The following is a 14,526-nucleotide window of genomic DNA, read 5'->3' as shown; positions in this document are numbered from 1 at the left end:
AGACTATAGAATAAAGTCACAGGAAGATGCAATGTTCCTGGCTTTGAAGATGAAAGAGGGGATCTATGAGGCAAGAATTATGGGTTACCTCTAGACACCAGAAAATGCACGAAAACAGATTTTCCTCTGTGTCTCCAGAAAGGAATGTAGGCTTGCTAACATCTTGATTTTAGCTCAATGAAGCCCATGTCAGAACTGCAGCTTACAGAATTATAAAACAATACATTTGTATTGTTTTAAGCCACTAAGTTTTTAATAATTTGTTATGCAGAAATAGAAAATGAATGCAGTTTTTCTGACCAAAAAAAATACACCAAAAACCGAGGTTTGGATATAAGTAACATGATGTCTTTATGTTACTCTGTTGAAGCGTAAGACAGAGAATGTTGACAAAGAATGCAGTAGAGAAAAGCAGGTACTGAATGATGGAAAAGGCCTTGTGCATATACAGAGCCTTGCCATTATCTTGTAAGTTACTGCACAGCTACTGAAGCATTTTAGCTGTGGTTAAATTTACATTTTAGAAAGATCTTTCAAATAGCTATGACCAGAGAACCCAGGGGAAGTTTTAAATGTGAACTAAAATAACAGCAGTGGAAAATCATGGGTAAAAAAGCATATTAGAGAGACTTTAGCAAGAGAGGATCTTCACAGTTTGATAACCAAACTTTGTTTAAAATATGTATTTACTTCCATGTCTATTTCCAAGGATCATTGTCTAAGAGGGCCACGGCTGCTTTCCTAGTCATGACAGATAAGCATCCCCGTTTCCTTTTTCTAATTCTCTGTAGTTGCCTGTTTTTGAATATTCAGTCACCTATGCCAAATCCTCAAGACAAAATTCAAACCCATCATTCAAGTCCCCAGTTCCTTTGAAAAGCTTTTCTTTTCTGTTTACAACACTCTTACCTTAGAATCCCAGAGAGATTGCCATATCAATCTTGTTTGCCCCCCTTCAAATTGTATTTTCAACTGTATACTCTTTTGATTTTTCCATCATGTATTTCCTCTATACATGAGAAAAAAAGTTTAAAATATAAATTTTAGTGAAAATTATTGTGGTACCAAATGTCGTGTCCTGCAGGAATCAATTTTTAAGAACATATTAGAGGGGCTGATTTTTTTTAAGGCGCAGGGAAAGACTAAATCACAGAAAAAAACTAAACAGCAAAACCATAGGGGGTTTAAAATTATCTTTTAGTCACTTAGTTAAATTTGTGAATTTTCCATAATTTACATGTTGGTTTTATAACAGAAAAATAACAACAGCAGCTAAATGATCTTGTTCTCTCCCTGCCTATTCTGAGTCATCACTTCACAGCAGGATTATTGTGCTTTCTCCTGTTAATCTTCCTTCCTCATCTCTCCCAAATTCAATCCATGTTTACAGGCACGCTCTTCTTAAAATGAAATTTATCATGTAGAGAAGAAATTGGCATTCCAACACCTCCTGAATTTAGACTTTTCAAAGCTTTTTTTAGGTGCTCCAAAATCTGGTTCACTTATTTTATCCAAAATATCACTTGCTATCTGTTAAATTTCACTTTCTATTGTAATCAGATCAGCATCCTTCATAGCTATTTTACCTTTCCTTGACAGTATGAGATTAGACTTTGTATATCATCTGTATTTTTAATAGATACTAACTGAATGGTAATCTCAATCTGCCCAAATTGTATTCATTCTTTATGGGTTGACTCAAATCCAGCTGCTCCATCACAGAAGTATTTTCCTTCAACTTCCCTTAAAATGTTAATTAAACCTCTATATCTTATATATCTCTTGACTTTTTTTTCTATCCTGTTCAGTTATATTCTCAACTTTATTATAAATTCTGCACTACATAGCTTTTCACTTCCATCATCCAGTCCTTCATTAGTGACTTCTATGGCATTAAGCACATAGCAAATGACAGTAAATGCCTACTGGTTGATAATTTATTACCTAATTGTTCAAGTTCTTATCTCCCACATACATTAAGCAACTTCCCCAAGATCTTCTCCCAGATTTGTCGAGTCTTTACACAGTACACAATGGGGTTCATAAGGGGCGGCACCAACAAGAACATATCTGCAATAAGGATCACAACAAGAGGGCTTTTGTGCTTGGCAAAGTGATGCATGGCAGCCAGGGTGATGATGGGCACATAGAAGGTGAGCACAGCACAGATGTGGGAGACACAGGTATTTAGGGCCTTAAGCCTCTCTGCCAAAGATGCAATGCTGAGTATAGTCTTCAAGATCAGCACATAAGACAAAACAATCAGTGCCAAGTCCAGCATAGTACAGAGAGCAATGAAGAAGCCATAGATGACATTGGTCTTGTTGTCAGAGCAGGCCAGCTTCATGGTATCCTGATGAAGACAGTATGAGTGAGAAAGAAGATTCTTTTGACAATATTTTAATCTCCTTAAGGTGAAGGGAAATGGAATCACTAAGAGAATGCTCCTAATGGCTAAAATAAGTCCCATTTTAGCAACCCTGTTGCTAGTGAGGATAGAACTGTATCTTAAGGGATTGTGAATGGCAAGAAAGCGGTCCAAAGACATAATTAGAAGTACTGAGGATTCCATGACAGTGAATCCATGAATGAAGAATTCTTGAGCAAAGCAGGCATTAGGTGAAATTCCCATGGCATTGAACAAGAAGACCCTCAACATGGTAGGAAGGGAGGAGAGGGACAGGCCCATGTCAGAGACAGCCAACATGGCAAGGAAATAATACATGGGCTCATGAAGCGAGGGCTCTGTCTTTATAATAAAGAGAATGGTGCAGTTGCCCATGATGGCAAGCAGGTACATGAGGCAAATGGGGATGGAGAACCAAATGTGGGCATGTTCCAGTCCTGGGATCCCAATCAGAAGGAAAAGCTTGACTTCGGAGTTATTGAGAACAGACATAATGAGGGAGATATGAGCTCGTTAGCCGGATCTGAAACCATATAAATGAAAAGCAGTCATGCTTTTGGTTAAAACTCAGTTTTGTGAGGATAAGGGGTTCATTCGTATACTATACTCAAAGGCATATTTGGCTGCTAATCAACTGCACTCTTCAAAATTTACCAGAAGTCCTTAAACAAGTTCATATTCTCCAGCATGGTAAATTCACTTCTAACAACTTGTCCTAAGTTGGTGACTTTTTAGGATTTTTAGGATTTTTTTTTTTTTTTTTTTTAGAGGGAGTTTTGCTCTTGTTGCCCAGGCTGGAGTGCAATGGTGCGATCTCAGCTTGCTGCAACCTCCACCTCCCGCGATCAAGTGATTCTCCTGCCTCAGCCTCCCAAGTAGCTGGGATTACAGGTGTGCACCACCACCACCATGCGTAGCTAATTTTTGTATTCTTAGTAGAGATGGGTTTTCACCATGTTGGCCAGGCTGGTCTTGAACTCCTGACACAGGTGATCCACCTGCCTTGGCCTCCCAAAGTGCTGGGATTACAGGTGTGAGCCACTGCATCTGGCCCTACTTTTTAAGATGTTTAGCAAAATATATAAAACATATCAAAATGGAGCTGCTTTGAATCAGTAAAAAGATACTTAGAATCTTTTCCACTCATTTTTCCATACAGTCTTCAGCAGTACCCACGTTGGCTTTAAAATAAAATCTCTGAGCTTTATGTAGAAAGTTTGAAAGAAATAGTCTAAGAAAATAATCAGAGATCACTGCGAATATTTGGAAAACATTAAGTCATTAGATGCTATAAAGTAAATACATTTATAGACTAATTTACCTCTTATACTTATGAGGTAGGTACTTATGCACATTTTATACATGAGTAAATATACATGTTACATCAAGTGTTATATAAAAATAAACAACGATTTCTGTTCAAACACATTTGCCCTTTCATTTGATTTTAAATTATTTAACTTATTTGGGCGTTATTTTAAATCTGTAAAATGAATACAATCTTGGTAGGTTTTGATATTTATAGTTATTTATGAAGTTCCAAACAGAGATCTAGGTTCATAAACCACAAACAAGTATCTGTAAATATTAGCATTGATTACACAGTAGTTTCCAATAGAACATGTTGGAGAAATGGAGCAGTGGATAAGTACTTTGGAGTTACGTATTCTTATTTCTTCACGTACATATTCATGTATTAAATGTGGCACCTCCTCGCTTAAACACTTATGGTTCACACTTCAGGCTACCATTTTATTTCAAGAAACCATTTGAAGCTCTACAGTAGTATTGTGTTCATGTTAATCTTATCCATCTTGATTGGATTATTTAATCTTATATCTCTGTATTTAATTAGTCAGAGAAATTAGTCAAATAAATGCATATTTAGTCAAATAAATGCTAAATGAAAAAAATCCAAACCACCCAATTTCTGTTGGAAATGAAGCATTAAAATTTTGCCTACATAATAAACAGAACCTGATTTTATTTTAGAGTCTCTTTTAAAAAGCATACAAGTTTACTTTCAGAAGTAAAATATGCAATCTTGCAACTTATCATCAAGTTTTTGGCCTTCAAGGTAAACAGGTAAAAATTGGTAAAACTGTCAGAGAAACACAAATCTCTAAGACAATCATTATAAATTCCGCCTATATTTAATAAGCTTCCTTAGTAAATGCATAAATTAAAATTATGAAATTAATAATTTTAATTAAAAATAACAAAAATACAAAAGATGAAGGTAGAGCCAATGGAAGGCTAGAGAGAAGAAGACAAGCTATCCTCACTCCAGAATTTTTTAAACTTCAACTTGCAAGAGAAAAAAGTCATCAACCTTCAGTGGAAAACACAGGAGACACTGGAAATTGATTGAGCTCCTTTATATGGAAGCTTAACTGTGAATTCATACTGTATTTTGTGATTTTTTAGAGGATAATTGAAAAAAGTACATAGTAAATAACAAGCAGCCTTGGGCCAATATATTTTACTTTTGCTAGGTACTAAGAGACATTTTGGCAACTTGTGAATAGCTCTGCATCTTCTACATGGAAAAGGGCCTTGAACAGTTTGAGCATGACTCATTAATCTCCCACCATGGTAGTGAACCTAATGCAAAACCCAGGGTAAGTATAATGTGGAGACGGTAGCAGATTGTGAGATGTCATTAAAAGCATTCTCCTGTTATTTGCTGGACTGTGTTTTCTTAGCAAATTCAATTCTGATCCCATGTCAGTAGTCATAAAATAAGTTCTCACCTCTGAATGCACTTAACTCTTATTCCTTTTTATTTTCGTCTTTTGCTGAGGGATATTGACTCAGGTCTTTCAGGGAATGCATCTCTAGTGCATTTTTTATTGTGGAAGATTCTGCAGTGTTTTATAACGTACTACTTTCATGTAACCCTACCCTACCAAACTCCATTACTACCATGCACATTGACTACTCCATGTTAAAAGGTATAAAAAGGTTTTATTTATCCCCATGTATCTGTCATCAACATGACACGTGGAATATAAAAGGCTCTCAGCAAATATGTAAAGAATAAATGTGAATGGAAGAAATATAAAATATGTAGAATCATTTCTTAGCACTTTCTCCCTTTTTTTCTCTGGCAACAACTAAGGGATATTGATGTCCATTCTTTTCACTCATATTTTAAGCGGTAAAGTCATTCTTACACAGAGCATGCATTTGGATGTGGATGAACTTCAGAAGAGATAGCTCATCAAGGCTGTTTATTCAGAAGTACTGACATGATAGGTGGTATCTGAAACCAAAGAGTAAATGAAATCATACAGTAAAAATGTACATAATACAAAATTTAAAACTCATAGAACCCTGAGGAGCAGTAAGATTGTTGAGAGGATCTTGCAAAGGAATATTCAGAGAGGTGGAATATATGGAGGTAGAATATACAGAGAGGTGGAATATAGTAGATGCCAAAAGAAGAGAATGTTTCAAGGAAGGCAGTCCTCAGGTAAAATATTTCCCATACCACTTAGAATTGCTATTCTTTAAGGCAAAAATCAGTTCTCAAGCTAACGCACAAACACCTTGGTTTAAATCTCAGCATGGCAATTTACCCTGTGTGAATCTGGGAAAGCTGCTTAAGCAGTTGTTTGCTCTTCTGTGAAATGTGGTAAACAATGGTATCTACCTCAGAGTTATGTTAGGCTGTCTGATAGTCTCTAACACAATGAAGATAATCAGTAAATAGCAGAGATGAATAACTACTTCAATAAAACTTCCTTAGCCATTTTCCTTCCAGACATCAAGTCCTAGATTGGACAAGAGTAATTTATATTTTTTAATTGACAATAAGGCTTGCTTTTATTTGTCATATTATTAAGTAAATAAATCTCTACTGATATTAGGGCATTAGAAAAACACCCCGATATTTAACCTTCTTGTTTAACCGTCAGGGCATAATATATTCACTCTTCATGTATGCACACACACTGAAACCACTTACTCTTCCTCCCCATAGACATGTATTCAGATATAAGCAGTTTAACAAACCTTAGATTTAGGTTTCCAAAAGGATTTATAGCTCCTTAACCTTACCAGAACCAGATGCTCAGTAAGTTCCTGAAGGATAAAAACAAGAATTCTCCACTTTCACTTCCACTTTATCTAGAGGTACCTACTTCTCTTTTCCTCAGGTGACTAGACCCTTGAGAGTAATCAAGCTTACACAGAAAGGGTTAGGCCTGGGGCTGGTACATTACTTTGTATTCATTGTACCTTAACAGAAACTAGAGGCAAATTGTGAGACAAACTACAGGGAGACTACTCATCTGAAAGGTAAACATTTGAAGTTGAAGAAGCTTGACACATGGGATTTGTAGAGGTTGGAAAATATAGTTAAAATAACATGTTATCTATAATCAAAACACTTTATGTCCAATTCTAAGTCAAACCACTTAAACGTTCTTCATCTTAGCTTAATCATCCACAAAATGGAGATAGTAATCTATAAGTATCAAATATTTAGAAAAGCACTTTACAAACTATAAAATGGTTTACCAGTCATTCCACTTATTTGTATGATCCATTTTTGGCAAAATATTAACATTGAAATAGACATAGCCTGTCGTACTCTGTTAGATTTTTAAAGCAGTGTCTCAAAACTACATGCCTTCCACATTATATTGCATTCACTAGAACCGTCCGAGGAGTATCCTGCGTTTTATTCACATATTTCTATTTTATATGTCAGTTCCATCATGGTTTAAATTAAATAATAATTATTTAAGGCTATGAAACAATATAAAAATGTGAAGACAATTTAAGTAAAAATGTATAAAATAAGGATATATATATAACTGTTTTAAGTATTTCTTAAAGCATATTTCTAAGTTAAAAAGAAAAACTTTGGTTAAAATAATGGAAAGCCTTACATTAATAATAAAATAATTTTAATTAATACAATTTAATGGAATAATAATATAAAAGACACAACATGGCTCAAATACAAAATACATATATCTGTGAATAAGAAATGAATAGAAATTTAAAACAATGAGCAGGGATAAGCCCACTCATTGCTAGTTCCCATGTCTGGAGAAGACGATCAACTCCCATAAGATAAATGAGATTACATATTCTCCATGTTAAGTTATCTGAAGCAAATAGACTTATTAAATGTCATTGGGCTATTCTAGCAGATGCATTTGATACCCACCTTATTATCTTGGGACTTAACATTTTATTATAAGTTGCTAATTGGAAGAAAATATTTGCAAAAGACACAAGAATTCTTGAAACTCAATAAGAAAACAAACAACACAACTAAAAAGTGTGTCAAACAATAGCAAAGACATGAAACCAACCCAGGTGCCAACAGAAGGTTGGATAAAGAAAATGTGATACATGTACACCAGGGAATACTACACAGCCACAAAAAAAGAACAAAATCGTGTCCTCTGGAGCAACATGGATGCATCTGGAAGCCATTATCCTGAGCAAATTAACACAGCAACAGAAAACCAGATACTGTGTTCTTACTTGTAAGTGAGAAAAGATTCTAGAAAACAGATTGCCAATAAGAAATTCTAGAGTTGGATTCATCACTGTCTGCATCACAATAGGAACCACATCACTGGTTGCAGATGAAATGTTGATGGTCCCTGACATGCTGTAGCAAGTTATTGTTAAAATTTTCATCTGAAGTGAACTGTAATAGTACCCAGAGGAAAGGTAACTCACAAGATTTATTTATAAATAGAGCATTCTCTGTAAACTGGATTCTCTTACTGGCTACTTTTGTGTGTGTAACGAAAAGGGTCATGGAGGACTACTGTGGACTCCAATCTCAACCAAGTAGAAACATCAGTTTAAAGTTTTATGTCAGGTGCAGTGTTTTTACCAGGGAAGATTAAGATTAACCTGGATTCGATTATCAAGTATGTAGTATTTATGTGGCAAATATATTCTCTTCCATCTTCTATAATAAATCTATAATTTGAAAATACTTATTTTCTTTGGATATTTTGCATAATATTTTATTGACCCACTATATCAATGACAATATATTAATCAGGTAGACGAGCATGAAATGCAAGTATATTGGCATTCTTGTCAAAACACAGTGCTCTTTAGGTGGGAAAGGATAGAGATAAACACCCATACAAAAAAGTAGGAATCTTAAACATTAGAGAAGTTTTTAGGGATCCTGCGGTATAGGAAAAATTGCGACAGCCTCTCTCAGTTAATAGACAAACTAAAGCATTTTTTATCTTTTACCACCAAGAAGAAAGTACCACATGTAGTGACCTCCTGAAACCCCGGAGGCAGCATATGCCACACTTTGAGTGCTAATTCTACTCACATAACAGAAAGACGTATGCCCATGCTAAGACACAAGTAAGACCATCAAGCACAACTGAAAGAGCACAAAGAGGGGGCCGGGCATGGTGGCTCACACCTGTAATCCCAGCACTTTGGGAGGCCGAGGCAGGCGGATCACAAGGTCAGGAGATTGAGACCATCCCGGCAAACACTGTGAAACCCCGTCTCTACTAAAAATACAAAAAAATTAGCCAGGTGTGGTGGCAGGCACCTGTAGTCTCAGCTACTCAGGAGGCTGAGGCAGGAGAATGGCATGAACCCCGGGGGGCAGAGCTTGCAGTGAGCGGAGATCACGCCACTGCACTCCAGACTGGGCGACAGAGTGAGACTCCGTCTCAAAAAAAAAAAAAAAAAAAAAAAAAAAGCACAAAGAGGTGATGCGAAGTCCACTGATGTTAGTGCACTACTATTGCAATGTGGTGCACTTTCCCTAAGCTTACACTTGTAGCTACGTGGATGATCCCTTATGACCAGCTGGTGGGGGATGAAAGCCAAGTTAGTTCATAAATGAGTAAAGTTGGTATGCCAAAAATGAACTGTAGATGTGTTACTGATCCATTAAGGAGTGACTTTGAAAGATAGTACTTAGGAGAAATACATCCCACGGACAAATCAGCTGATGGACTCACTCATCCTCTTTGTATAAAAAAGAGGTGGTTCTATGTAAGAATACACAAAAATTCAACTTATTGTTAATGGTGGGTAACTTGGCTAATTGACCAGGCTGTTGGAAGGAGAAAGACTGGAATACTAGTGACAAAGAGGCAGAGGGATGAAGTGGCATGTGGATGGTTCTAGAAGTTAGAACAAAGTTTGAAGATCTTTATATAAAAGATCAATGTTCATCATAGTCTATACATAATGGAAAAGAACCTAAGCTATAAAGAACACTGAGTGGACCTGACAATTTATATCAGCTAGATTCTGATATAAGCAACCTCAGTGGTGGCATAATTGGCTCCTAATTGAAGTAGCTATAGTGGCAGGATGAAAACTGCATAAACACAAAGCATAGTTTCCCACTCAACAAGGCTGATAAAACTTCTCTTTCTACTAAATATTAACCTGGCAATGATAGAAAACAATGTTAACTGCCCAATGTAGCATCACTTCTTGAGTAGAAAATGGCCACTTAATGGAAGATTATTCTACCCCACAAAAGGCAGCAAATGAACTTGATAGAAATTGACACATATGATGGGTGTAGGTTTGTTTTATTTTCTTGAAGAGTCATAGCCAAACCTAGTATCTCAGGGCTTACAAAGGGTTTGATCCACCAGCATAGGACATTATGTTATATCACTTCATGAAAAGGGACACATTTTAGAATACTTGCAACAGTAGACACACAACCATGCTTGTATCATGGGCTACACCACTCAAAAGCTTCCAATCTGGTACAGAAATAGAACAGGTAGAGTTGAGTCTCCACCTTAGAGACGACATTAGTGAGGATGAGACAACATACCCCAGATGCGTCATGTACAACACACCAACAATCATTATACATAGCTTTGACTGCAATGATTAGAATAAATATATTTGGGAACAAAAGAGCTGAAATTAAGAGTAGTCCCACTTACCATCATTTTTGGTGACCTACTTGGAAAATTTGTGTTTCCTATTTCTGCAATTTATGTTCTGTTGAGCTAAAGGTCCTCATTTTCAGAGTGGGAGACATTGTGAGGATCTTTTAATTAATTTAAAAATAAAATAAATAAAATTTATGTTAAGCTCTTGCCTAATAACTTTGATCTTCTCTAAGCTCAAAAACAAGCTGGCAAGGAAAGAGGTCATTAGCCTGATGGGGTAATTAATTAATCCTTGATCATCAGGAAAAGATAGGGCTTCTAATAAACAATGAAGGAATGGAAGAATATGTTCAGTACCCAGATAGCTGACTGGTTGTCTCTTGGTACCATCCTGGCAAATTTTGATGATAAATTAGCAAGTGAAATAGCCTTAGCCTGAAAAGGTCATTCTATAGAGACATTTTTACCCTTTGAAAAAAGGATCTGGTTGCTCTACCATGAAAGAAACCTATGCAATAAATGTTGTAGTCTTTACTAAAGAAGAATTTAGAATGGATTATAGAGATGGCAGATGATAAGATCAGTTGAGGTTTCAAGAACAGCTTAAGTGATGTATGTTGTAGTTCGTTCACAAACTTTTCATGATCGTGTCTTCTTCTTGGGCAAATAGACAACACAAACATGAGAAGAGCTATTCCCAAATGAAGCAGTTGAATTTGAGTAATACAAGAGTAGACTGCAATAAATTATGCAGTGAATTTCTCTGTCAGCCTTTCTTCGGAACTAAGACATCAGCTCCCAGATTCCTGAATTTGGGGCTGCTATGGGAATACAGATAAGTCCTTTCCTGGAATTATTCTAATCAAAATGAACTTGTCTCATCCAGTTTATAACCCTTGTTGGTGAGCAGGCCACATTCAGTTACTGGTTAATGCAAGGGTACAGAGACTTTGCTTCAATTTAGGATAATCCTGAAGGGTTGTTCCAGTTCCAGATTTTTCTGTAGCACTGACAGAGGCCTCAATTGCTACTGCCTTGACTGTCAAATTATCTTTCTAACTAATAAAGCTTCCTTCACATTCTTACAGTTGTTTTTCTTGAAAGAACACACACACACACACACACACACACACACACACACACACACACAGAGAGAGAGAGAGAGAGAGAGATTTCTTAAATTTCTAATAAACTCTAATTTAAAGAGTAGATCCAGTGACTCCTGGAATAGATAGGTTTGGATTTCTTCATATGGAGGAGGTAAGTAAATGTCCCCTATATATTAAAAAACATACCTATGGACACTTTTGAGGAAGATAAATAATGCTAACAATAAAAATATTCTTTTAACATTATTTTTGTTACTATAACCCAGAGATTCAACATTCCTCATTAGAACGTGGAAAGATATTAAATACATTAATCCCCATAGAAACAATGAGAAAGTCCTGAAAAGAACAATTTTCTGCAGGACAGTAAAAGAATAGTAGGTACAAGAAAGACTTAAACTGAAACTCAGAGGAATGAGCCCTTTATGTTTGAGAAGAGAGCCACAGCAAACAACCCCAAACAGGATAAACACAAAGAAATTAACACATAGACACATTATAGTCAAATCCTGAAAACCAAAGAAAAAGAGAGAAATAATAAAATAAGAGGGGAAAAAGATATACAAGTAGAGAAATAATGGTTAGAATGACAGCCAATGTCTCATGAAAAACAATGTCATACTTAAAACAATAGAATTATCTTTTGAAAGTACTAAGAAAAAAATTGTCAACCTGGAATTCAAAATTTCTCAAAACTATTTTTCAAAAGGACAGTAAAATATATATGTTTGCAGAGAGACAAAGCCTAAGAAAATCCATAGCCATAAGACCTTCACACAATAAATGCTAAAGGAAAGTTTTAGGCAACATAAAATAATACAAGGAGGAAACTGGAATGAACAGAAAAGAATAAAAAATGACAAAGGGGTGAATATATGAGAAAATAGAAACTTTTTAAATTTATTATTTATATATAATATATAATATTTATTATTTAATTTTTATTTATTATTTCTATTTATTTTTATTTACTTAATTGCTGGAAAATTATTTACCATTTAAGAATTACAACATATAGAGAGGTTTGCAACACAGGTAGAAACATGTACTTAATAATTACATACAGGATAAATATGAGTTAAATGGAAGCACATTATTAAAAGCTTCTGCATTACATATGGTACAATATAATATTTGTTTATGGTAGACTATCTTAATAAGTTAAGGATTCGTACTCTAAGGATCAACTCTGTTTTGAAAAAAAAAATACAAACAAGTATAGCTAAGAAGCCAGTTGAGGAAATGAAGTAGAATACTGAAACATACTTGATTTTATTTGATTCACAGTTTCAAAATAAGTGAGAAAGCTATAACAAAGAAAAGAAAAAGATGGAGAAAATAAGTAAGACAAAGATAGTCATAAAAATAAATGTTTTGATATAATAGTATGACCCCAATTACAAAATAGCACTTGTCACAATGGATTAAAAATATAGGCCGGGCATGATGGCTTATGCCTGTAATCCCAACACTTTGGGAGACTGAGGCGGGCAAATCACGAGGTCAGGAGATGGAGACCATCCTGGCCAACATGGTGAAACCTTGTCTCTACTAAAAATACAAAAATTAGCTGGGCGTGGTGGCATGTGTCTGTAATCCCAGTTACTCAGGAGGCTGAGGCAGGAGAATTGCTTGAACCAGAGAGCTGGAGGTTGCAGTGAGCCGAGATCCTGCCGCTGCACTCCAGCCGGGCGACAGAGTGAGACTCCATCCAAAAAAAATAAACAAAAAATCAGCGTGTGTGTGTGTGTGTGTCTGTGTGTGTGTGTGTGTATACATATACTTTAAATATAAGGATAGGTCATGAGTAAAGGGATATAAAAAGATACATTATGCATATGAATATATATGGTCAGTGTGGCCATACTATTACTAGCAAAAATGGACTTTAAAGTAAGACATACTACCGGGGAAAAAGAGACATTTTGCAATGATGAAAGGTCAGTTCATCAAGAAGAAATAGCCATCTTAATGTATTTGCATGTAGTAGGAAAGTTTCAAAAGACACAACAAAGCAAGTAACAGAACTAAAATAAAAAAGAAAAAAGCATATTCAGATTTTGAGTTTTTAGCACTCCTCTTTTTTAATGTTACTTGTTTGCGTAAGTGGATAAAAATCCATTTAGCTATACACTTTGTGTTTATCCATCTTACCATGTGTAAATTATATTTTATTCATAAAAAAGGGAAAACACCTCGTTGATTGTAAGAAAAAAGAAGCAGCAGCAAAGAAACATAAACCTAAAATAATATATCGATTAATCTAGGGTTAAGTGATTTCTTGGTAGCCTCAACTGCTTTTCCTAATCTCTAAGTAGACTCTCTTTGATGTGTTTAGTTCAAAACTTTTAGTCCATCCCAGTCTGACCATAGCAATGCCTTGTGGGAACCAGTCAGTAAAAGCTGTGATCTGATCCTGACCCAGGGTCTCCTCTGGGAATTTTCAGGAACTGTTTCAAGGAAATCATTTGTTTACAGAGGGTGGCAGAGCTGGAGGGATTGGTGTCCCATGAGAGGAAAACTCAGAAGATAGATCAAGGAATCAGCGGTGTGTAGATAAAAGTCTTGGCAAGCAGACGTGGGGCACTGAGGCAGAGAAAGCGCTAGAATAAACTTATTTCTGTTTTTCTATGTAATTAAATGGTAAGTAAAATAGGACCATAACATAATATTGTCTTGTAATATGGCTTTATGTCCTCAAGTGTGTCTGAAATATGAGTGCTCTAAGAACTGAGATTTGGAAGGAACATAAATGAGGGTGGCTGTAATAGAAACTCCGAAATTTTGACATAGGAGGAACTTAGAGGTAAAAAACAAACAAACAATAAGGTTTCAATGGGAAGTGCAGGAAGCTTATCTTGGAGTTATCTTTGCCAGACAAGAGGAGACTTTCACTAAAACTTGGAGAAGTTGTGAAAATTTTAAAAGGCACTAAATCTCCTTGTACTTTTTCCCCAAGACGGGGTCTCACTGTGTCACTCAGCCTGGAGTGCAGTGGTGTGATCATAGCTTCCCCCAGATTAAAACTACTAGGCTTAAGTGACCCTCCTGAGTAGCTAGGACTATAGTCAGTCATGTGCCACCATGCCTGGATAACTATTTTTATTTTCTTGTAGAGATAGGGTCTCCC

At 35.8% G+C, this 14,526-nt stretch overlaps 2 protein-coding genes across 3 annotated transcripts in view; both read right to left on the bottom strand.

The window, feature by feature from the left end:
* Window positions 1-14,526, bottom strand: part of MMP26 (matrix metallopeptidase 26) — a 287,646-nt gene that overhangs the window by 82,161 nt on the left and 190,959 nt on the right. The gene's annotated exons all lie outside the window — the stretch shown is intronic.
* Window positions 807-6,486, bottom strand: OR51A7 (olfactory receptor family 51 subfamily A member 7). Its single transcript, NM_001004749.2, has 2 exons — window positions 6,425-6,486; window positions 807-2,930 (listed from the first exon to the last, which is right to left on the bottom strand). Exon 2 carries the CDS (start codon window positions 2,897-2,899, stop codon window positions 1,961-1,963), a length of 939 nt encoding a protein of 312 aa, NP_001004749.1. The 5' UTR covers window positions 2,900-2,930; window positions 6,425-6,486; the 3' UTR covers window positions 807-1,960.

The sequence above is a fragment of the Homo sapiens genome, chromosome 11 (assembly GCF_000001405.40).
Source record: "Homo sapiens chromosome 11, GRCh38.p14 Primary Assembly".
In the NCBI taxonomy this organism is placed as follows: Eukaryota; Metazoa; Chordata; class Mammalia; order Primates; family Hominidae; genus Homo; species Homo sapiens.
Note: the sequence above shows the minus strand (reverse complement) of the source record. Positions and strands in the feature narration are given on the sequence as shown.